General features: G+C 35.5%; 3 protein-coding genes across 3 annotated transcripts, besides 1 other annotated feature; all 3 read right to left on the bottom strand.

Annotated features, from left to right (window-relative positions):
• Nucleotides 1-8,273: 8,273 nt before the first annotated feature.
• On the bottom strand, nt 8,274-9,209 carry OR5L2 (olfactory receptor family 5 subfamily L member 2). Its single transcript, NM_001004739.1, has one exon. The coding sequence runs from the start codon at nt 9,207-9,209 to the stop codon at nt 8,274-8,276; it is 936 nt and encodes a 311-aa protein (NP_001004739.1).
• Nucleotides 9,210-15,856: 6,647 nt separating this feature from the next.
• OR5D18 (olfactory receptor family 5 subfamily D member 18) lies at nt 15,857-16,798 on the bottom strand. Its single transcript, NM_001001952.1, has one exon. It carries the CDS (start codon nt 16,796-16,798, stop codon nt 15,857-15,859), a length of 942 nt encoding a protein of 313 aa, NP_001001952.1.
• Nucleotides 18,371-18,534: a silencer, noted in NCBI's record as "fragment chr11:55585370-55585533 (GRCh37/hg19 assembly coordinates)". NCBI's record gives its function as "represses an EF-1alpha promoter that drives an FKBP-Casp9 reporter gene in an ReSE screen in K562 erythroleukemia cells {active_cell/tissue: K562}" and the evidence as "EXISTENCE:reporter gene assay evidence [ECO:0000049][PMID:32094911]".
• OR5L1 (olfactory receptor family 5 subfamily L member 1) lies at nt 23,952-25,061 on the bottom strand. The gene has a single exon (NM_001004738.2). The coding sequence runs from the start codon at nt 24,959-24,961 to the stop codon at nt 24,026-24,028; it is 936 nt and encodes a 311-aa protein (NP_001004738.1). The 5' UTR covers nt 24,962-25,061; the 3' UTR covers nt 23,952-24,025.

Raw genomic sequence — 26,189 nt, 5'->3', positions numbered from 1 at the left:
CTTTTATTCTCCAATTCCCAGGAAACAGTTGTTCAAGACACTGCTATCAGAGACAAAGCTCTGCAGGAAAGGGGTACTTTCTGTTCCCCAGATATCCAGATACATAATATCTTCTGTGATTTGAAATTCCCCCCAAATTAATTTCCCAAGGAAAAACTGAAAATAATTGAAGGTGTCTTCTAGATACTTTACATGTAAAAGAATATCCACGTTTTCTCAGACCTGAGAACAAACCTGTTGGTGGAAAAGGTAGCCCCCCCCCTCTGCCTCTGGAGAGCTTGTCTGGGGGAGATGCTAAGACTTTTATTTCTACTACCACTCCCAGTGGCATCATGACCTAGAAAACATTAGTTGCCTTAATCCCCAGGAGACTCAAAACAAGTCATTAAAACTAAAGACTCTTTTCTGATGTAATTTGGGTTTCATATGAAGGAAACAATCACAGCTTTAGCAACATTTTTATGAAGGTTAACTTAAAAGTTGAAATATCATCTCCTTATGTTCCAAGATTATTTCCAACATGTCCATTTTTTTTTTTTTTGTAAAATGACAAAGTATAGCAGGAGTTTTCTTTTTTATTTACTCAACAATTATTTCTTATATATCTACCATGCCCTTGGTCTTTGCAAATCTTAACTGTTCTCTCTGTTACACTAACCACACAAGAGATGCAGGGAGATTCTTCCTTCAGGTCTCTCATCTGCTTAGTTAATTATTGCCAAGGATATTAGATGCAGATCCGATCTTCATGTATAGAGAGGACAGGACTGCAAACGTTTGGAATTTGTTTCTCAGTGTCATCATAAGAAATTACGTCTAGCTACAACCAATATATTAAGGTATCTGATGTTGTTGCAAACATCCCACATATCCTGTAAACAAATATAATAATAGTAATGATAATACCAGTAATATCTGCTGTTCATCTCCTCTTTGGTTCTGATTTACCATATAAATTTCATCAAGCCATCCAAACTCATAAATCTCTTCAAATCCCAAACTTCCTTGAAATTCTTGATTATCTTCTTCATCACCACTGGTATTTCTTTAGGTCATTTTATAATTTAACACTTGCACTGTTCAATAGCCTCCAAATTGGTCCTTATGCCTATAAATTTATCCTCTTATATATGCCTGTCACACTACCACTAAAATAACTCTTTACAAATAAATCTACTTGTATTTGTATATTTGTTTAAATCTTCACAAAATATCTCTTGAATGCCTATACTGGGGAGTTTTTGCAGGGCTGATATAATAAAAGAGAAAGTGGACCATGTGAATATATCACTTATTCCAAAATATATACATAAATTATGTGTAAACTAAACTAAACAAATGAAAGTTACAATTACATCCTCAAAAGTTATAAAATAATTCTGCTCATGTTTTTAAATGTAATTTTCAAAACCTACAAGTAAAATCAATATTAACTGCAACAATTTGGATAATTAACGTGTAATCAAATTGTCCTGTAAAACATGCAAATCTCACCAAACTTCATGAGTTGTGCAAATCAAAGCCTAGCAAAATAAAATAACCTGTTATATCAGCCCTACAATAGGATTATTCCCCAGCATGTAAATCTTAGTGATTTGTAATTATTTATATGTGCATATCCAAGTTCCTAAAATTGACATCCAAATGCTTTTTTAATAGACTTATTCCTCTTCATTTTTATATACAAATTTTAGTGTCCATAAACATGATTATCAATATCAATGTATCATATGTCCTGTTTTACATATTTGCATATTTCATGAACTGGTGCCACAGACCCTGGTGGACTGAACAAAGGAGGACGAATGCGAGAATAAAGACAAAAACAAAAGAGTATGTTTGGAAGAAGGGGTCAGGGAGCTCCTTGCTTCTAGTGAACAAGGGCCTTGAGCTTCTAGAGCCCTTCGTATTTATTGAGTAAAGGAGATAGGGAGAAGGGGGTGATTGTCGGTCAGTTGTTTGATTTAGTGCTGTCTTGCGTGACTGCTTTCCATGAACAGTAGGCTCCAGATGTTCCAGTAGATAACCTCAAGAAGCATGGTGCCAGGGAGTGACTGCCCTCAGCATACCTTCTGGCGGCAGGCACAGATGTGAGTTTGCCCACATTCTGCATTCATGATAAACAGTTTGCTGTTTGATCATATAGCCTCCAGTGGAATGCTGAGTTGATCATGACCCTCAGGCTTTTGGCTCCCAACAAACTAGTCCACTGCTAAATTGTCATTTATTTTATCCATACAGCAAAACATTGCTGAGTTGTGAAAACTTCCTTGAGACATTTTCTGACTCCTCCCAACCAAGTTCAGTATTTTTGGGTACTCACAATTTCTGTGAACAGCCTGTATTTTATTGTTGCTCAGGTCACAGTGTGACGTAGCTATCTGCTTATACATTTGCATGGCTTTCTCTCTAACTAGAGTGTGGATTCCTGGAGATAACAAATTATTCATCTTTCACCTCTGTATCCACCTCAGATATTTCTATGTCTACTCAAGCATGAGTGTATATAAATATAAGTATATATAAAGAGAACCCTTAGCTTTATTTTTTTCATCTGGAATATTTGCTCTCTGATACTCTTCATGTTAGGAGTAAGGCTATGGTTAAAGACCATATGTTAGTTGCCACAGCCAGAAATAAATCACAGGTATTACGTTATAGCCTCCTGATTTTCACTCTGTACTATTAGGACCTACCTTAAGCCTTACCTTATGGTATGATCCTCACATCTTAGGTATGAATATCTAATAGTTGTGAATTGAAAAGTCTTGACTGTACCAAAACAATTCCATTTATAATGTATCCTAATATGAACTCCATTGTTGTTCTTTTTCCCAACAGAATTCTAGCAAAGATCAATTGCATTTGAATCCATACCATATTTAATCTATTCTAAGTCATTTCTTTTTTTCTTTTTAAAAATTTTTTTATTTCCATATGTTTTGGGGGAACGGGTCGTATTTGGTTATATGAGTAAGTTCTTTACTGATGATTTGTGAGATTTTGGTTCACCCATCACCCAAGCAGCATACGCCAAACCCAATTTGTAGCCTTTTATCCTACACTCCCTTCCCACCCTTTCCCCCTGAGTCCCCAAAGTCCATTGTATCATTCTTATGCCTTTGCATCCTCATAGCTTAGGTCCCACTTATGAGTGAGAACATAAAATGTTTGATTTTTCCATTCCTCAGTTACTTCACTTAGAATAATAATCTCCAATCCCTTCTGGGTTACTGCGAATGTCATTAATGCATTCCTTTCTATGGCCAAGTCGTATTCCATTATATATATCATACATATATATATATATAATATAAATATAAATATATCACAATTTCTTTATCCACTCATTGATTAATGGAAATAAACCCAAATAGTTACAGCCAACTGATCTTTGACAAAGCAAACAAAAACATAAAATGGGGAAATGGCACCCTGTTCAACAAATGGTGCTGGGATAACTGGCAAGCCACGTATAGGAGAATGAAACTGGATTCTTATCTCTCACCTTATAAAAAGTCAACTCAAGATGGATCAAGACTTAAAAATCTAAGACCTGATACTATAAAAATTCTAGAAGATAACATATAAGTCATTTTATCTATGATAAAATCTCTGTGACTGGATATATCTTACGGCTAACAGTAAAGAAATCACTGTGTTGTGGTTTAATTAACAAAGTTTATTTCTTGTGGAAACGTCTAATGATGGTAAATCTTACAGTGTGTGAACTATGAAATGGTAATGGCCATAGAGAAGAAGGAAACATGTTGAGAAATATTTCAGAGATAGCATTTCTGTGTCTTGGAAAATGTGTAATCATCTATATAATTAGGGTAATTATAGCTATGTGAAGGCCTAATTTAAAAGTAATCAGAATCTATTGCCGTCTTTTAAAATAAATGCTATTGATGAAATTGTGGCCAAAGAGTTTAGATAGGCTTGCCTTAAATCACGGATAGTGACATAGGCAAAATCTGCTATATATAGAATGGGTAGTGTTGTTATCTGTCTGTTGGTTTGTCGTATGTGTTCTCCACCTAAATATTAATATTACTCCTTAATGACCTAATATTAAAAACAAAGAAACAAACTTCTTTTCAAAGTCAATATTTATGTTTTTAACATTAGAAACATAAAATGCGTTTTGCTGTAGGCCAAAAATATCCAGAACTAGCTCTAATTCTCACATTTTCAAAGATGGTTCTGCTTAGATTGCCTATAATAATAGTAAAAAAAGTGGTTCCAAAAGAATGAAAGTTGGTGGATCAGAACAAATTTTAGAATATGGGTTAGTTTACCCCTGCAATTTGTTTCCAGTGTTCTTAAGAAGGCTGCTTATTCACATGTTTAATTGATTTTTAAATTTTAGCATCACTTTTTGCTTGTTATTGACTTTTCTGTTGAAGAGATTTTCAGTCTGCAATGAATAACTGCTTATATGGTTGATTCCTTGGAGTGTGGATGTTGAAAAACGTGAACTGTTATGCCAACACATTTGTAAGGAACTCTGTAATTTGTTCCATTAAAAGTGGTGTGTAAAAATGCCCTCCCCCCACCAATAATTACTGTACACAACTAGAGACATAATATAGTTCTTTCTATGTATTAATATGACAGTTACTAACAGAAGAGAGGTGTTATATATTACTACCTTGCACAGTGTTAATGAGTCTGTCAGGTAAAATATTGTATTTTGAAAATTAAACTGAATTATAAAACAATATGGCCATACTCTTTATTATAGAAGTTGAGGTATCTTTATTATAGAAGTCGAGGTATAGACTGAAATATTACTCAAGGTTTGGCTGAAAGGCTTAATATTCTTAGCATTTCAATGCTAAAAATGTAATTTATTGAGGAATGTATATATGTTAATGGAATATTAAATACCTATAGGGAAAAAAAGCACTCTCAATAAATGATGTTGCGAACATTGCTATATAGTTTGGCAATGGAAGCTGGATATTTATTTTGTAAGCATACATTCATTCAACAAACATGTACAAAGCAAATAAAAACCAATAAATTTAAGATATCAAATCATATAAAATTGAGACAAATATATAATGGATATATTTTAGGATATATTTATGATTTATTTTTACTGCACTTATTGTTAAGTTGCCCAAAATATGAGTATAAAAACATGAAAATGTAAACTACTTATTAAAAAGTTTTCTTGCTATATAAAATTAAATTACATTACCAAATTATGATATTTTTTGTAAATTTTATCCTTAGAAGCTAATAATTTTTAAATCTAGAATATCTTATAAATCATTATGGAAAACATTAACACACAGTGAAAATAAGAGAAAATGATTGAACAGAAACTTCAAAGAAAAGTTGAAAATGTCATTGAAAATTAGATGCTTATGTTTTACAAATCCCTCCCTTTCTTTCTCTTCTCTCTCTAATTTTCAGGTTGAGACAGAAATAAATCTACTGTCTTATATAACTTGGCATTTAGATATTTTCCAAAGCTATATTATGTACAAAATACATTATTACAGAGACAATGTTTCTTTACACAATTTTCTGGGTGATTTATTGACTTTGAGTATATCATTTCACTGGATACAAAACATGGAATAGAGAAGTGAACCTAAATGCTAGATCTACCACCTGTGGTTCATTCATTTACACCCCTTCCCTCATTCTGAATTACCCTTTCCATTCTATCAGGCCAACAAGGTCACCAATTGCTAAGAGAGCTTACTATTGGTGACTGGCATTCCCTTTGAAACAAGCTGCCCAGTGAATCTCATCTTAGTTACCATTACCAAAAATAGCCAAGAAAAATATAGGACTTCTTACTATACAGAAATTGTGGGAAAAATTATTAGATTAAATATGTGATTTGGCACCATGGAAATTTGTTCCCCAGATCTTAAAGGGTGACCACAGCCTTGTGTTGCATTTGTTCTACCAATTTTACCAAGAATCAATTGCATTTATAATTAATATAAAGAGATCAAAACTAAGAATCTTGATTTTTACTGAAGTGTTCAGATACAGAAAGATGTACACACTCTAGGTAATAGGAGAAGAGGGTTTTCCTTGTACCCTGTGCATTGTACACCGCAAGTCCCTCAGAAGCTGTGTTTGTTGAACCTAGTCTCATTTTCATGTCCACTCTCCTAGTCCTTATGCTGTGATCTTGCTGCTGGGGCTTGCAAACTGTATTCCCCAGATGTCCTATCTAGCTGCCTTCCTTTTAGATCCGCCAGAGGAAGTAAGGGGGTAAGGGGAGGAGGGGGAGAAGGGAAGATGAGAAGGAAATGGAAAAGAGAGAAGAAGAACATCTCTTCTTGATTTTCCAGTTTCTCTTAGTGTGAATCTAGCCACAGTGGATACTTGGTGTGTTCCAGCTTTCCATGATAACCTCTTCAGAGGCAGGAGCAGCCATCTAGCACAGCCTTCTTTGGACCATGTCTGAGCGTGCCACAGGACACTGGAAATCTGCTGAGTCCTAACCCAGCCTCAGAGGCCCTGACACACTAAGCGTTATGTCTCTTCCTCAAGGGATTAACACCGGCGGACTGAGCTGCTTCCACGAAGCTCTGAGGTTCTGGGGACAATGTTTCTTCCCTATTGCCCTCTAATATCAAGAGCAATAGTTACTTCCTAAAGTCAACAATCTTTAAATAATACAGCATCTCCTGTGTGCTCTTTTGAGCCTCTAATCGCTAACATTTCATGAATTAGATCCTGCAGAGCATTTGTTTTCCTAAGTAGACCATGACTGCTAGAACATTCGTGACAATGTGGACCAACTCACAGTTCTTGAAGTCTCTCGAAATGTAATCTGCATAGTAATCCCAATATGCTTACCATAAATTCACCAATATCTACTCATCCATGCATTTCATAAAAATAAAAGATTTTTTAAAAACTTCTCATATGCCACTGATGATGAAGTAGATAAAAAGTTAAATAAACCCCAAGCTTCAATGACTTCATTTAGATATACACTGAGTCTCTTCCTGATGTCAGTAAGTACACATATGCTATGAAATTTTAATCTCAATAAAATTCCATGAGGTTAAAACTATTATCCAATGCTAAAACAAAGGAAACTGAGGACCAAATAAGTTAAATTACTTGACAAATTAAAAAACCAGGGTCAAAACACCAATCTCGGTTTTGAAAAACTCAAACCTATTGCTTTTCTAATATTATTACAGACACAAAGAGAGAAGTTTAATTTAAACAAGTAAATAAAATGAGGAAATTGACATAAGTCGTAATGGAATCACAAATAAAGCATTAATGGTGCATATAATTCAACAGGGAATTAAGAAATGTGGTTTAGGTACATATGGAAAGAATACAATAAAAGAAAGTTAAGCCAAAAAAAAAAGAACACATGCAAAGAACATGAGCAGAGGTTAAAAGTCATAAGTGTCAGTAAGCATCTCTTCATCAATAGATTTTAGGGTTAGTATGAAGATAAGCAGTAAAGATAAAGTGAGAGAAGAGGGTTAATTCAGAAATGCTGTGATTCATAACAATGGTTCTAAATTATTATCTGTACATATTTATATTATATATGTGTGTGTGTGTGTGTGTGTGTGTGTGTGTGTGTGCGTAATGTAGGTAGAGAGAGAGACAACTAATAATTATGTTCCAGGGATTATTCTAAGCTCTTTTTATGTGATTCCAGCTTCCTTAATGCAATTTCCCTAGAGTCCGCTGCAATTATTATTTTCGTCATCTATCAAATCACATAGTACCCAAAATTTCAATGACATTGTACACTGCAACAGCAGAAACAAAATAATGAAGAATAAAACAAGAAACATAAAAAATCAAACAATGACAAACACATATATATGCATAGATATATGGAATTCTCATTCTGTACACACTTTGACGATGGTGTAATCGTCATTATAAATAATGGAAATTTTATTTGTAAAAGAATCATAGTTTCCATAAATGGATACTGAAATAAAGTGTAACTCCTCTGAGTTCTTCACTAGATTTGTGAAGGTTTTACAGAAAACTAAATGTTTGTATCTTAATAATGTTGTGGCTCATATCCATTTAAAACATCACAAATTTATTTTTATAAAAGTTGGCTGCAAATTTTGAAATATGTTCAATCCTATTAGTTTAAATTTAAGAGAAACAAAGATAAGTGAATCAAAAAAGGATCCCTCATAACTACTGAGCTCCTTCTTCTCTCTACTCCAACACTGCACCCCTCCTACGAACCTTCACTTGCCACAACTTGGGGATCCTGAATTCTGTGAATAAAATCTTCCCTAGGAGTGAATTTTGGAGCCCATCACTTTTCTGAGAGCTTTGTTCACATCCTTATTTCTCAGGCTGTAGATCAGGGGGTTCAGCATGGGAATCACAACTGTGTAGAACACGGTGGCCACTTTGTCAACATCTCCACTGTTGCCTGAACTCGGCCTGCAATAAATGTAAAGGATTGTTCCATGGGAGACAGTGATGGCTGTGAGGTGGGAGGCACAGGTGGAGAAAGCTTTGTGCCTGCTCTCTGCAGAGTGTATCTTCAGGATAGTGGTGAGAATTAGCAGGTAGGAGGTGAGGATGATCATGATGGTAACACTCTCATTCAAAGTGGCCACCAGGAACAGCAGTGTCTCATTCACAGTGACATCAGAGCAAGCAAGACTTAGGAGAGGGGGTAGATCACAGAAGAAGTGGTTAATCACATTAGATCTATAGAAGAGGATCCTAAGAGCTAAGGACGAGTGAATCAGAGAACACACCGTCCCACAGAAGTAGCAGCAAGAGGTCAGCTCCACACGCAGCTTCTGAGACATGGTCACCATGTACAGCAGGGGGTTACAGATGGCCACAAAGCGGTCATAGGCCATCACGGCCAGCAGGAAGACCTCAGTGACTCCACATGTGCAAAACAAGTAGAATTGCACCATGCACCCTAGGAAGGAGATGGCTTTGTCCTTGTTAAAGATATTAGCCAACATCTTTGGCACAATTATTGAGGAGTAGCAGAAATCTACAAAGGACAAGTGGCTGAGGAAAAAGTACACGGGGGTGTGGAGCCGAGAGCTGACCTGAATCAGTGCAGTCATGCCCAGATTGGCTAACAACGTGACTCCATAGATGAGAAGGAACAGCAGGAAGAGGCAGACTCTCAACTCAGGGACATCTGATAGTCCAAGGAGAATGAACTCAGCCACAGTGGTGCAGTTTTCCTTGCCCATGTCTCCAATTTATGCAGGATTAGAGGAGAAAAAAACCTAAAACTTATTCTCCATTATATAGTCTAAATTTTAGTTTTGGGTGTATCCTGTAAAAAGATATCAGAAGAAGTAGGATAGCTAATTTTTATCAGCAAAGAACAGAAATTTTGGGAAATCTGAAAAAGTTCAACATTGTATAATACAAATGCATAAAACATACAGTTTAATTCAAAGATCAAACAAAAACATTGGCATTTAAAAAACTTATAGAATTCTTTTAATTAATCTTTCTCAGTTGAGACATTGGCACAGAATCATTAGGAAAGAGGTAAAGTTGTTTAATTTGCCTTATGATTATATCAAAATCAAATCCCCTTTTCCTAGCTTACTCCAAATATTGAGATCCTAGAAAATAATGCTTAGAATATATGGTACCCCTCTCTGAATTTTCCACTACAGTGATGGGGAGATATACTTAATTAAGATGTTAATTCACAAGTGTTTATATTTTATTGATATATTTTAGATGAAGAAGCTCATTTTATTGTGTGTATTATCTTTTTTTCTATAAAATTAGCCTGGTGATTTGGTTAATTACACTCTTCAATGTTGGCCATGGTTCAGGGAATTGGTACTCTTGAGCACAACTTATTGTAACTATGACTGTTCAGTCCTAAAACATTTATTTGTTAAATAAATTTACTGCTTTCAATCTATTTGAAGAATTGATCAAAGATGTGCATAGAAAATGATTAAGAAAAACACCCACTACTGCATTGAACTATTATTTGTAATATTAAAAGTTAGAAATAAAATATAAAATAAGAGACGTGGTCACAAATGTAGTATATATAATGGAAATGCTTGCAGTTATAAAAAGGATAAGACTGCGATAAATGATAAAATGGAAAGTTATAATACAGTCAGATTGAACATAAAGAATGTTATATAATAATGTATAATATAAATATATGTATTTATTCTACTCACACACATAAGCTGCATCATATATTTAATCTGTGCAACATCAATGAGCATAAATATTTATTTCAAAAAAATAGATAAACTTACCTGATTCCTCACAAAACATCATTATGATGGAGTGGAATGGGGGAAAAGGATGGAATTTTTAAAATTAGGGACACATACTTTCCAAATCTTCAACACACAGCAAGTGTAAAGTGAGGGTGAGAAGCTTCCTATTCTCTCTCCCTGACCCTTGATAGATGCACACATCATTGTAGAGGCACGAGCTGAGCACTCTGGGCAGAAAAGAATCTGGACTGGAGACCAACAGAGCCAGGTATTTTTCCCATTCTTCAACTGATTTCAAAGATATACAGGAGGCATATAACTAAATGCTAGATTGAAAATTACTAAAATGTTCTGAAGATAAGATTTTCTCTCTTAAAATGACCAGGAGAAGTATGTTACATGTCCTTCCCCAAGATCAAACTAGTACATACTTTCAAAAACCCCTTCCTGTTTTCAAATATAAAGAAAAAAATCAAGCTGTTAATTGCCCATAGAGCAGTGTTTCTTTGTCAGGAGTGACTTGAATCCCAGTGGAATATTTGTCAATGTCTGGAGACATTTTTGGTTGTTACAAGAGGAAGGGGGTGCTATTGACATGTAGAGGGGACGCTGCCAAACACTCTCCAATGACCTCTACAAAGCACATGAAGGTCCCTGCCCACAGCACACACAACAAAACATTATCTGGACCAACATTTTAATGGTGCCTTATTTGAGAAACCTGCCATAGAGAGACATTTCAAAGTGATTTGCACAAAGACAAAATAATTCCTCTTCTTTCTGCTTCAGAGGTGGTTCTCATGTCCATGTCCCTCCATGAACAGTCCCGTGGGCCTCCTACTGCCACCCTCAGCACTAGGATGACTGTTAGGAAAATCTCCATGCAGTCTTAACCAAGTCGCATGGACAGAGTTAGTGTAATAGAGGGGAGAGAGGGAAGGATAGAGAAAACAAGTGCTTATGCCAATGTCTTCACACTGCTTTACATCTCACACTAATAGCTGTTATAAGATGTTTGGTTTTACAGATTAAATAGTTCCCACTTCCCACCAAAATTGTCCCCTAATACACAATGAGAAAAATATTGTCATCAAGGAGTGCTCAAACCATGGCATTTAAAAAAACATTATCTGATTAAGAGAGGGATAAAACACAGACTTAAAAATTATCTAATACCATTACCATCCTTTTGAATTCCCCTTCTGGAGTGTATGACTATAATAAGCTACCTCCATGAGGAAAACACATCAGGCTTCCAGCCCCCAGAAAATATAGTTTATGCTCATTCCAAAAAATACAAAATGTAGTTCAACCAACCATCCTATTGGAAAGACATTGCTTTTCCTTTCTGAAGATGCTATGATGAAAAATATTATGTGTTTTGTATTTTGTGTGTGTGTGTGTGTGTGTGTGTGTGTGTGTGTGTGTGTCCCTGGGGCCCATGTTTCATAAGCTTCCCAAAACAATCACTGATCTCTGTGGGATATCAAATGGGTATCAAGGAAACCATCCTATCCTGGGACTCCAACAATTATTGACCACTATGGAATATAAACAGGGTGAGAAAAAATCCAACTTGGTACATATTATTATAATGTAACACAATTACATTCAGACTTCATGTAAATTGCATAACATTGTATGCCACATCCAAGCATTGCCTCTGTGAGCCAGTACTCACATTGCCATTTCATGTTATGAAATTATATAAATAGGCATTATAAAATTTGTTTCACACTCAAAAGCTCCTACCTAAAGGGCATAGAGTCTGAAACCACACCAGAGATCCTCCAAATACCAGAAAGGGGTGGGGATAAGGAGTCCCTTTTACTAAGAATACTAATAATTGCTGATACTAATACTAATAATTTACTGAGTACTGCTCATGTACCAGATACTATTCTAAATACAATTATGAACACATTTTATCTTCATAAAACTGGTTGACATTAGTACTGTTATTTCCCCTTTCAAAATAAGGTTATAGAGGCACAGCAGGTGTAACTCACCCACAGTCACACATAGAATCCCTGATAGAGACAGGTCAAGTGTGGCTTTTTGGCTTGTGCCATCTGTGCAACCATAAGGAAGAGCAGAGCTCCAGAGTGGTACCGGGGGTGCAGACTCCCTATTCAATGCTAGTGGCCATTAAATGGGAATATCTCAAGGATCTCCCCAAGTTCTGCTTCCTTCTTGACTAATACAGCAATGTCAACCTGAATGAGCAGTGTTCAAAGCACAGTCTGTGTGCCCCAAGAGAAACCAAACATTTCAATAATTCCATTGATATAAGCAGTTATAATCTATATGTGTTTTCCAAAAGTGATCCGAGAATTATCTGCATTGTAGGAGGCTTTCTGGGTTTCCTTTTGTAACTAGCATTCTCACAACAGCTTTTCTCTCGCTCTTTAAAAAAGCATGGGATTTCTCTAATCCATTCATACTTACCATGTGAATCACTCCGATGAGAAAAAGAAAAGCAAACATCCAAAGCCTAAACTTGAAATGTTATTCATGAGGGTTGAAGTTGTCTTTAATCGAAACACTTCAAATCCATGATATGACTTGTTTTTCTATGGTGTTTGTAAATCTTTTCATTGAAAAGAATCGCAGTTGACATGTACTATAGCCAATAGAACCTTGCCCAGGTGTGGTGATTAATGCCCCTGATCTGAGCACGTTGGGAGGGGTGCATGGTGACCAGATCTCTCGATCTCGGGGGTTACAGACCACCTTGGGCATAATGGAAGAACCTTATCTCTACAAAAAAATACAAAATTTAGCCGAGCTGGGTGGCGTGCACCTATATTCCCAGCTACCTGGGAGTCTGAGATGGGAGGATCACTTAAGCCCAGGAGATCCGGACTGCAAGCTGTGTTTGCGCCACTGCACTCCATCCTGGGTAACAAAGAGAGAACCTCTCTCTCTCTCTCTCTCTCTCTCTCTCTCTCTCTCTCTATATATATATATATATATATATATATACACACACATACACACACACACATATATGTGTGTGTATATATATATCCTTTACCTACTGGCTATTGTGTATGAGTTTATACATAATGTATACATTATGTATATGTACTCAGATATGTACTATATACATACTCAGATATATAGTAAAATGTTGAAAACATTTGTTTACTACCTATTCACTTTATTTTTAGTGTACTGCCAAAGTATTTTCACAAACTCATCTCTCTTGAAGATGAGAGTCATGATAGAAAAGCTGAAAGTTCTATAGAGAACATCATTACCAGTGGTGCCTTATGTTGTATAGGCTCACAAGAAAGCTGCATACCTTATTTGTCTTAGGCTTAAAGGGATGGGAGTTGTTTTGAAAACTTGATTTAAATTTAAAACAGTTGTAATTAATTTCATGGTCACTATTCATAAATTGAATAATACAAATGTGAAGCACTAAGCTTTTGATGACATGTACTTAAACCACATAAGATGCTATCTGAATAAAATATTGTATTAGCAAGTATTAATAAAATCAATAATTTAAAATTTAACACATTTTATTATTTTAAAATGTTTCCTCAATGTGGAATAATAGAAGATGGTGAATTATTACATAATAAAACATCGTGAAGTTTTTTTGGTAGCATTCCCAGAATTTGAGAAAGTGAATGACTCTAATGACTGTATAACAAACCACTCCAAAACCTATTGGCTAAACACAACAACCTCTTATTGCCTGTGACTCTATTGCATGGATCATCCAGGTGGTTCTGCTCACATGTCCCTGGCATGGCTGATCTTGGCTTGTCTTGCTTGTGTGTATACTGTCAGCTGGCAGGTCAGATCATCTCACAGGGCTTCACACTCAAGTCTGGTAGGTTGCCAGAGAAAAGCCCTTGTGATGGGGATATGGGCTAATTTTCCTCATTATCAAATATCCTATTTTATGCTTGTTCCCATGGCAGCTTTTCAGGATTTCAAAAGATGGTGAAATTCAGTATTCGATTTAATATTAAAACAATGTCCCAACTTCTGAGAAAATTAAAAATTGTATAAGTACCAGATGTGTACAAAGGATAAATGTTTGAATACCTGGAGATACAGATATCAAGAGAAAAAGTATTCCCTCCTCAGGCATTTAATATCTAAAACACTGTTCCTTACATTTTGAAAAATTTTTCTATTACAAGGATTATTTAGTGGATTCTTTATCAAATAATATATGTAAGATGAATCACTTTAATAATTATCATAACTTTAATAATCATCATAAGGTCAAAATAATATGAACATTCTAAATAAATTTAAGAAGTTTATATAAAATTGTTCCCCAGTTTATTTTTTCTCCCTTAACAAAACACCTGGAAATTTACTTCTTCCACTATATTGATGATTTGTTTGGAACTGTATCTAGACACATTGAAAAGGAGAAGGGTATACAATTTATTCGAATGAAAGTGAGTTATTAAGGTAAGAAAGAGCTAGCATTTTTAATTTGCTGTGTTAAAGAGGTCTTGATATTAATGATTACCTGATTTTTATTTATTTTGAATAAGTTTATGCAGCCAAAGAGCTTTCAACACTTAAGACTACTCCAAATACCTTTTTATAAAGGTTGTTGGGAATTCTGTTGAGAAGGATTCAGAGATTATTTCCATGCTCATAAAAAAATCATAATGGATTGATAAAGTTTGTGATGTCTAACAGTATGACATACAGGTTGGGCAGGTGTTCATCATCCCTAATTTGGTACATAGGATTTTCTAAGATCTGATCCATTATTCATCAGCATCTGGTGAAGTCTATTATGGTTTATCAGATGGTCACACTGGAGCTCCTTTGAAAACACATTCAGGATGTAGCCCATATCATATTAAAATTTCAGTTCATGTCAAGTAACCCGTATACATAAACACACACACACACACACACACAAACACACATTATATTATGTTAGCTCAATAAAACAAGTATTAGATCTTTGACTAGGTATTACATTCTTACCTAATTGGTTTTATTCACATTGTTTTCTCCAGAAGAAAACTCCTTTCTCCCTGGAATGTATCTCATAAACTCCGCCCATTTCCTTTTCAAAAGCCGGTTTCAAACAATACCTATTTCATTAAGACATCCTTCTAAAATCCCTAAGTAGATTTGAACTTTCTCTTCTCTCAAACTCTCTTTGGTACATATTAATTTCTGCCTTACACAATGGCCACTTCTTCATTGTCCTATTATCAACACAGTTTTCATCCTTGAAGATGAGGACTATTTCTTCTTTTAACTTATTTTGCACATTTATAAAAGAAATTCATATGTTTCCTAAGCACTTAGTCTATTCCCGGTATCTTATAAGGAAAGGACATGAAATTAATATCCATTGACTTACGTAAGGTGTCCATTATATTTTAATCTTCACAATCAGACTATGATCTAACCCATACTATACTAATTTCATAAATGAAATATTAAAGATTAGAGGGATTACTGATGCTTCCCAGAAAGTAAGAGACAGAGCTAAGTTTAGTCTGTTGAAAAGAAAATCCATTTCGTTGAGTTGTACAACCCTAACTTTGTTTATTTGTAAAGATATCTTTAAGATCAATATTTATGGACAGAATTTATTTATATGTGTGACAAACTCCATGAAAGTAACAGGCTCAGTAAGAGAAGACTTTGGTGTCCAGTATCTCGGTGACTGTATCCTTGACATCTTTATTTCTCAGACTGTAGATCAGGGGATTCAACATGGGGATCACCACGGTGTAAAACACAGAGGCCACTTTGACTGTGTGCCTGGAGTTTTTGGAGTTGGGCACACAGTAAAGGAAGAGGATGGTGCCATGGAAGATGGTGATGGCAGTCAGGTGGGAGGCACAGGTGGAGAAGGCTTTGCGGCGCCCACTGACTGAACGCATCTTGAGGATGGTTACAACAATGAACGCATAAGATGTGAGAACGATGAGTAGTGTGCTGATTTCATTAAAGGTGGCAAGAAAGAATAGCAGCCACTGGTTGATGTAAGTATCAGAGCAAGAAAGGGAGAGTAGTGAGGAGAACTCACAGAAGAAGTGATTGATTGTGTTGAAACCATGAAAACATAACTTTAAAGCAGAGCACGTCAGTTCCAAGGAACATGAGACTCCCCAGGCATAGGATCCCACAACCAGCAGCACGCAGAGTTTCTGGGACATGTTAACTGTGTAGAGCAGAGGGTTGCAAATGGCCACGAAGCGGTCATAGGCCATCACAGCTAATAAAAAGGATTCAGTGACCACAAAGGTACAGAAGAAAAAGAATTGTACTACGCATCCTAAAAATGAAATGGTTCTGTCTTTGACAACAAGGTTCACCAACATCTTGGGAGCAATGATGGAGGAATAGCAGAAATCCACAAAGGAGAGTTGGCTGAGGAAAAAGTACATGGGGGTATGCAGTTTGGGGTTGATTTTGATGATCACAATCAACCCAATATTCCCTAGCACAGTGACATTGTAGATGGCCAGAAAAACCAGGAAGAGTGGGACTTGCAGTTCTGGGTAATCTGAGAAGCCCAAGAGGGTGAACGTGGTCCCACTTGTATTTCTATCAGTCAGCAGCATCGCTTCTGTTTCTTCGAATCTGAAAGTTAGTTCTGAAAACAAAAATGTTAAGGAGAATGAGAAAATAAGAAGGGTGATTGAATACCTTTACGGCTCCTGAAGGATGAAGCAAATATCTCTTCCGGAATCTATGAGTTTGTTGTTTAAGATTTCTTAAATATCTAACATGTAAAAACACTGTAATGTTTTTTAATTTCTTAAGAAAAATACAATTATTGAGTAAAAGAGTAAGTTAGTAACTGTAATTTTTAATATTTCCAAATATAGGAAAATGAGATTAAATATTTGTGATTATTTTAAATTAAAAATTTACATAATAATTTCAGGCCTCCTTAAGCATTCTACATAAATGATCTTCCTCGTATAATATGATGACTGATTGTGTAAATCTTATAATCAGTTATACAAATCAAAATTTCATAAATTAGTTTTCACATAATTTGTTTATACGATGACATTAACTATCAAGAGCCCTAACGCTTAACATTTGTGCCTTTATTGTTAATTCCATATAGCAGTTTAATGTTTGTCTGACCCAGAAAATTTGACTTCAAAATACAGCTGAACTAATTGTTTCAGAGCGTATGCTCCAAAATCAGGCTGTACTAATTATCAATCCTTCCTCATTGCTTGAGAAATAATAAATATCGAATAGTCAATACAGATACCCTTGTTTATTCTTTATTCTATAGGTGACAAAGTAGAAGCCAGAGAAGCTTTGAATTTCCTATCGATATGCCCAGGAAGGCCAATCTACACATCTGTGACTAGGGTTTTGATCCTTGAACTCCTAGACATGTAACCCTTTACCCGCACCAAACTCTGCTCCATTATCTAGGTCGAGATACTAACACATTCCCTTCATTAATAACCATACTTTCAATTAATAAGCAGACTAGAGAATCTACATAGTCCAGTGACAGTTACTGCCACAAAGATATATTAGAAAGCAGCATCAAGATAAAACACATGAGAATGGGATTGAGGAAAATCTTTTTACCCAGAAATAACTAGTGTAAGAGTCTGACTTGCAAACTTCCCTTTTCTTCTAGGTCCTCTCTGTCTATCCCTGTCTCCATGTCTATTTCTTTTCTCTCCCTTCAAGACACATTATATATTCATTGTGTCCATCTATTACCTATGAAGGAGAAGAACTAAAAACTTGAGATAGTACAGCAACATGAATACATTTCATGAGAAAACAGAAAACAATAATAGGAAAGAATCATTATATTGCTCTAATTAGTGTCCAACACCTCTCAGATGCTATCATATCTGTAATCTCTTTCTCTATCATAATAGACATTATATCTATTCACATAACCCACCCAAATTTTTAGACGGCCTATCAAGAAAGATGTTAATTTACATGCAAGACCAACATATTCAAGGGCCCTCTCTTCCTATACTCATGAATTTGTGTATTAAAGACAACCTCAAGGCCGGGCGCGGTGGCTCACGACTGTAATCCCAGCACTTTGGGAGACAGAGGCGGGTGGATCACGAGGTCAAGAGATTGAGACCATCCTGGCTAACACGGTGAAACCCCGTCTCTACTAAAAAAAAAATACAAAAAATTACCCGGGCGTAGTGGCAGGCGCCTGTAGTCCCAGCTACTCAGGAGGCTGAGGCAGGAGAATGGCGTGAACCCAGTGAACCCAGGAGGCGGAGCTTCCAGTAAGCAGAGACCCCGCGCCACTGCACTCCAGCCTGGGCGACAGAGCGAGACTCCGTCTCAAAAAAAAATAGACAACCTCAAAAGACAATCCATCACAAACCCAGATATCCTAATTAGCATATTTTTTCTTTTCTCTTTCTTTCTTTCCTTTTTTTTTTTTGGAGACAGAATCTTGCTCTGTCGCCCAGACTGGAGTGCAGTGGCGTGATTATGGCTCACTGTAACCTCCGCCTCCCGCCTCCTGGGTTCAAGAGATTCTCCTGCCTCAGCCTCCTGAGTAGCTGAGATTACAGGCATGAGCCAAAATGCCTGGACAGCACATTTTTTTCTTAACACTGCATTTTATTTATCTAAGGCATTTAAATTTTATTTTAAACTAATGTTACATTTTACATAATGGCCTTTGTGTCCAAAACGTAACTATAAAATAGGTAATAATGCTTTAAATATTTGAATCCCCGAAATATGACAGATGAAATCTTCTTTCCTATAGTTTATCTCCTTTTGAATTTAGTTGTTATTTTTGCTTTTAGGGCTGACATGTGTTTCCTGTTATATAATCTTAATTAAAGCTGGCGCCTTTTATTTTTTTCACTAGAGAGTCTATTATCTCTCTGTTTAATTCAATTTACTTCAATATTGCCTATTCTACCTTGACTTTTTCTCCAAAACTTAACAGAAGCAAGGCAATACACACTCCTAATATTCTCAAAGCTCTTCTATTTCCCCATCCCAGGTACCTGTTTTCATAAGACTATTGTTCAGGAGTCAGGCCTTCTGATACAAAGCTTCGCAGAAAGAGAGCACTTCCTGTTCTTTGCACATTCACACATATTTTCAAGAACTGCTTAATCCTAAGGGTGCATTTTCCTCCTCCTAAGTTGTTAAGTAGGTTGAAATGAATATCAATCTGTCTTTAGAATCTTAAAGCAAACCTGCTGATGGCAAAGGGAGGACGTTTCCAGGCTGAGAGTGATACATGTTTTCTTATATCTATAGTTACGCCTAGGAGACATGAACCATAGAGACTACCTATTGCCCCAGTCTCCTGAGCTCACACACACACAAAAAAAATTAAAATTAATCACCATTATCTCATGTAATTCTAATATACTAGAAACTTGCAGAAAAAAAATTAAAACATCAGGAGCACTTCATATAAAACTTTCATATTTTAAAGTCATTTTCCTCAGCCCTCTTATCACTTCCATATATTTCTCCAATTATAAGAACATGTGTAATTTTAAGATCATTGGTATCAGATACTGATCCACTAACTACTATTTGCTGGACATAATCCTCTTCCTCCACACCACACACTCTGACCATATTAAAAAATAGGAAGATCTAGCTTTCCGGTCATCTTGACTCATTTGGGTTAAAGCAGAAATATTACGAAGTAAACACTCAATTGGATAAATATTATAGTCCCTGTTAAATCTCTGTTCTCTTAATTACTCAGTGTCTTTTTCTCTCTCTAATTTGGATTTGGCAGGAGAAAACACTGTGAACTAGTTCTTTGGTTAAAAAGGGACTTTCGGTGTTCTTGTGAGTACTCTTCATTTCTATTTGATCCTTTTAATCTCAGAAATAGTCTGTCTTCCTTTGTCTTTGTCTTTTTGTGTCATTTGTCCTAAGGAGAGGAACCATAAGGTAGAGCACACAGGTGCAGGTCAGTATGAAAAGACAGAGGAATGGAGACACATGATTTTAAGCAGCACTTTCTTTGTCCAAACATGCCAACCTCTCACAGTTTTTGTCATCTCAACTTTGTTCCCTGGATTTGTGCTGGGAAACTCCCATCTCAGTGTTGCCTGCCCAGTGTCACAGATTATCAGGCCTCTATTGAAGGTGTCTCACATTCAGTGAGAGACTAGAGATCTGTGAGTGAATTTTTGGATCATGGAGGCTGCCTTTTCTGCACTCACTCCAGAAAGACCCCTTTTATCCCTAGTAAAGGTTTATTCTAATTCTAGAAAGTTGCCTTCTGGTCTTTCCACAAAAGCCTTGTTGGATTAAGTCCTATTGCATTATACACACCAATGAAGATCTTAATTATCAATTGAAAGAAGACAGATCTTTTGAAATATATATATATATTTCTTTTGAAATCAGAACTTTTGAAATAAATAAATAAATATATATATATATATATATATATATATATATATATATATAGAGAGAGAGAGAGAGAGAGAGAGAGAGAGAGAGAGAGAGAGAGAGCGCCAGTGTCTTGCTCTGTCACCCAGGCTGGAGTGCAGTGGCATGATCTCAGCTCACTGTAACCTCAGCCGCCCAGGTTCAAGTGATTCTCCTGCCTCAGTCTCCCCAGTAGCTGGGACTACAGGCATGCACCACTACACCCATCAAATGTTTGTATTTTTAGTAGAGAAAAGGTGTCACCATGTTGGCCAGGCTGGTCTTGAACTCCTGACCTCAAGTGATCTGCCCGCCTCTGCCTCCCAAAGTGCTAGGATTACAGGCGTGAGCCACCATGCTCCGCCCAAGCCTTCCCTATTAAAAAAAAAATTAGAAAGCACTCTTTCTAAACAATTGGCCTATTGGCATTTATGGGAAGATCAGATAAAATTAAGAACTCATGTAAGTATTACGGCTAGTTGTAAGATTTTACTTAACAAAATTACAGAACTAAAAGCAGACCTAGAGAAAAAGTTGAAATTTGAGCGCATTGTTAGTCTTCCCGCTCCACCCAGTTAGATCCCACTTGATTCCCTGCTCCCTTCAGTTCCTCCAGGGCATGGCGATGCTGAAGTACAATGCAGGCCAAACTATCGACTTCTGATTAGAGTATTTTCATTTTTTAACTTTTGTTTTAGATTCAGGGGTACATGTGCATGTTTGTTATATAGGTAAATTGTTGTCACAGGGATTTGCTGTACAGATTACTTCATCACCTGGGTAATAAGCATAATACCTGATAGGTAGTTTATCACTTTTTGATTGGAGAGTCTTTAATGTTTGAACCAAACACTCATGCCAAAACTGCACCTAACAAAATCATCATTATATTCTTAATATTATTAAATACCCAATCCATTTTTAAATTACCCCAATTGTCTCAAAGGCATATTTTTTCCAGTTAGTTTGAATCAAGATTCAGATAAATATGGTTGTTATAAAAGTTTACTTTGTTATATAACCATTCTTTGTGTGACAGCCTCTGTGTGTGTGTGTGTTAGGCAATATTTTGGGGGAAAAATAATAATAATGAAGCATTCTCTGTATTTGGCTTAGTGCTTCATTTTGTGTCATTGTATATATTTCTGTACCAATTTTTTAAACTAATATTCAGATGAAGATGACTTATTAGCTCAGGTTCATTCTTTTAGTGTCTTTTAGGCAAAAATTCTTCATTGATTTTTCTGACTACTGTTGGTTGCAGTCCATTGAGAAGCATATGATAACTGGTTGATGACAACTAGTTGTCCTACTTTAAGTGATGATCATTCTGATCTCTGGATTCAAGTAGTGTCAACCTAATTACTTTGTTTTAAAATTACCCACAAACTTTTTTCCTAATGATTGTTATGTTCATTGAAGTCACCTTGATCCACTTTTTAAATGTGGAGTTCTACAATTGTGATTGTCTGATTTCATTCTTGATGCTTTTATTTCTTTTGAACTTCACCTCTGAGGTGATGCTGAAATATAATTCATATAGGAAAATTGGAATGAATGTTTGATTTTTTAATAACGTATTTTCAGAGTAATGAGTTGGTACCCTGACAACCATTAGTAGTAATCAATGATTTCTTATATTTTTTCTTTTTTAGTATCTAGATAGAAACATACATGAGGCCTTTAAATCAGCTGCATCAATATTCATTTTTACATTAAAATCTTCTAACAATAAACCAGTGGCAGCAATTTCAAATCTCTTCCTATGTGTCTTAGAGACAATCTGATTAACTGTTGACAGTATTCTAGCTTCCTGGAACATCGAACAGCCCAAGGCTCATCTTGCATATTTTCCACCCTAGACTTCAAATTAGCCATTTCTCCAAGAAGCCCTAGTTCTGTTTAGAGATAAAAGGTTTCCTTTTAGAGAAAATTTGGAAAATAAAAATGTTTACAGCCATTTCTCCAAGAAGCCCTAGCTCTGTTTAGAGGGAATAGGTTTCTTTTCAGAGAAAATTTGTGAAATAAGAATGTTCACAGTGACTCTGTTATGGCTTTTAGTGGTAATTAGGAGAAAAACTTCATTTCAAAGTAAATTTCTAATTCAAATTAAGATTAAAGGATTTTTATTTATCTTTTCATATTTTCGAACTGTGATTCTTTTCTCATTTGCTGGCAAACTTTGTTTTAATAACACTTAAATAAGTACTTGTCTTTATTAAGTTTGCTTCCACCTCTTCCTATTGCTATTAGTTTTTGTTTTACCTTTCTTTATTCTTTCACACGGTATCATAGTATAAAATTTTTCTGAATCTTGTCAAACAAATAAACACAATGAGGAAATTGACATAAATCATAATGAAGTCACAAAGAAAGCATCAATGGTGCATATAATTCAATATAGAATTCAGAAATGTGGTTGGGGTACATATGGAAAGTGAAATAAAAGGGAGTTCAGCAAAACTAAAAACACATGAAAAGAACATGAACAGAGATTAAAAGTCCTCTTATAAGTGTCAGTAAGCATGTCTTCCTCAATGGATTTTAGAGTTAGTTTGAAGATAAGAAGTAAAGATAAAGTGAGAGAAGATGGTTAATTCAGAAATGCTGAGATTCATAATAATTCTAAATTATTATATGCACATGTTTATGTATATATAATATATATGTATATAGCATAGACAGAGAGAAAAAGAGAGAACTACTTATTATGTTTCAGGGATTATTCTAAGCTCCTTGTAAGTGATTCCAGCTTTTTAAATTCAATTTTCCTAGAGTCCTGTGAAATTATTATGTTTTTCATCTATCATATAACATATTATCCAAAGTTCCAATGACACTGGAAACTAAAACAACAGCAAGAAAATAATAAAGAATTTTAAAATGTCAAAAACTGATAAATATATACACATTATACATATATATGGAATATATAAATATTCCATATGTATTCCACACATATATATTCCATATATACATATAATCCATATATATATGAAATTCTACAAACTTCAATGACAATGTAATCATCAATACAAAATAATGAAAACTTTGTTTTGAAAAGAATCGTAGTTTCCATAATGGATCCTGAAATAAATTGTAACCCTTGTAAGTTCTTCATTAGAAGACTTGTAATGGTTTTAGAGAAAGCAAAACTTGTCTATCTTAATAATACTATTGCTCATATCCATTTAAACATTATGTATTTATTTTTTAAAAGTTGGCAGCAAATTTTGAAATATGTTCAATCCTACTCCTTAAAGTTTAAGAAGCACAAAGATAAGTGAATCAAAAAAGACTCGCTTATAACTACTGAGCTCCTTCTTCTCTGTACTCCAACACTGTGCCTCTCCCGTGAACCCCCGCCTGCCACTACTTGGGAATCCTGAATTGTGCTAATAAAATCTTCCCTAGGAGTGAATTTTGGAGCCCATCACTTTTCTGAGAGCTTCTTTCACATCTTTATTTCTCAGGCTGTAGATCACAGAGTTCAGCATAGGAATCACGACTGTGTAGAACACGGTGGCCACTTTGTCAGCATCTCCACTATTGCCTGAACTGGGCCTGCAATAAATGGAAAGGACTGTTCCATGGAAGACAGTGATAGCTGTGAGGTGGGAAGCACAGGTGGAGAAGGCTTTGTGCCTGCCCTCTGCAGAGCCCATCTTCAGGATGGTGGTGAGAATTAGCAGGTAGGAGGTGAGGATGATCATGATGGTAACACTCTCATTCAAAGTGGCCACCAGGAACAGCAGTGTCTCATTCACAGTGATATCAGAGCAAGCAAGACTTAAGACAGGAGGTAGATCACAGAAAAAGTGGTTAATCACATTAGATCTATAGAAGGGGATCCTAAGAGCTAAGCACAAATGAATCAGAGAACACACCGTCCCACAGAAGTAGCAGCAAGAAGCCAGCTCCACACGCACCTTCCAAGACATGGTGACTGTGTATAGCAAAGGGTTACAGATGGCCACAAAGCGGTCATAGGCCATCACGGCCAGCAGGAAGACCTCAGTGACCACACAAGTGCAAAACAAGTAGAATTGCACCATGCACCCTAGGAAGGAGATGGCTTTGTCCTTGTTAAAGATATTAGCCAACATTTTTGGCACAATTATTGAGGAGTAGCAGAAATCTACAGAGGACAAGTGGCTGAGGAAAAAGTACATGGGGGTGTGGAGCCGAGAGCTGACCTGAATCAGTGCAATCATGCCCAGGTTGGCTAACAACGTGACTCCATAGATGAGAAGGAACAGCAGGAAGAGGCAGACTCTCAACTCAGGGACATCTGATAGTCCAAGGAGAATGAACTCAGCCACAGTGGTGCAGTTTTCCTTGCCCATGTCTCCAATTTATATGAGATTGGAGGAAAAGAAACTTAAAAATTATTCTCCATTATATAGTCTAAATTTTAGTTTTGGCTGTATCCTGTAAAAAGACACCAGAAAAAGTAGGATAGTTTATCTTATCAGCAAAGAATAAAACTTTTTGTGAAATTTTAAAAAGTTCAACTTTGTATAACACAAATGCATAAACTTAGTTTAATTCAAAGATCAAACAAAAATATTAACGTATATATGAATTTATATTGTTCTTTTAATTAGTCTTTGAGAATTGACAGCTTTTCACTGAATCATTGGGAATGAGGTCAACTTACTATTTAATTAGCCTCCTTACTCTTTCAAATTCAAATCCCATTTTCTTAGCCAACTCCAAATATTGGGATCCTAGAAAATAATGTTTAGAATCTACGGCACCTCTCTCTGAATTTTTCATTACAGTGATGAGAAATACACTTATTTAAGATGTTAGCAGTCAAGTGTTTGCATTTTATTGATATATTTTAGATGAAGAAACTCATTTTATAATCTGTATTAGTATTTTCTCTGTAAAATTAGTATGGTGATTTGGTTAATTACATTTTTCAATGTCAGCCATGGTTTAGGGAATTGGTACTCTTGGGGACAACTTACTGTAAGTATGACTCCACAGTCTTAAAAAATTATGTCTTAAATAAATTTACTGCTTTCAATCTATTTGAAGACCTGATCAAAGATGTGCATGGGAAATTACTAAGAAAACTTCCCACTGCTGCATTGCAGTATTGTTTGTAATATTAAAACTTAGAAATAAAATATCAAATAAGAGAAAGATGATCACATTTGTAGTGTATATAATATAAAAGCATGCAGTCATATAAAGGATAACTTTAAATCATCTTAATGATATCAATAAATGACTGTGAAAAGGGATAAAATACTTAAAAACAGCCAGAATGTAGAGAAAAAATAGTATATAATAATGTATAATATAAATACATATATTTATGCCACACACAATCGTATATTTAATCCTTACAACATCCATGAACATAAATATTTATTTTAAAAAATCTGTTAACTTGTCTTACTTCTCCCAAAACATCATTATTAGTGAGTGAAATGGGGAAAGACGTTGGAATTTTTAAAATTAGGGACACATACTTTTTAGACCTTTGACACACAGCAAACGTAAAGTGAGGGTGAGAATCTTGTCATTCTTTCTCTTCCTGACCCTTGATACGTTCATACA

This window comes from Homo sapiens, chromosome 11 (assembly GCF_000001405.40).
Source record: "Homo sapiens chromosome 11, GRCh38.p14 Primary Assembly".
In the NCBI taxonomy this organism is placed as follows: domain Eukaryota; kingdom Metazoa; phylum Chordata; class Mammalia; order Primates; family Hominidae; genus Homo; species Homo sapiens.
Note: the sequence above shows the minus strand (reverse complement) of the source record. Positions and strands in the feature narration are given on the sequence as shown.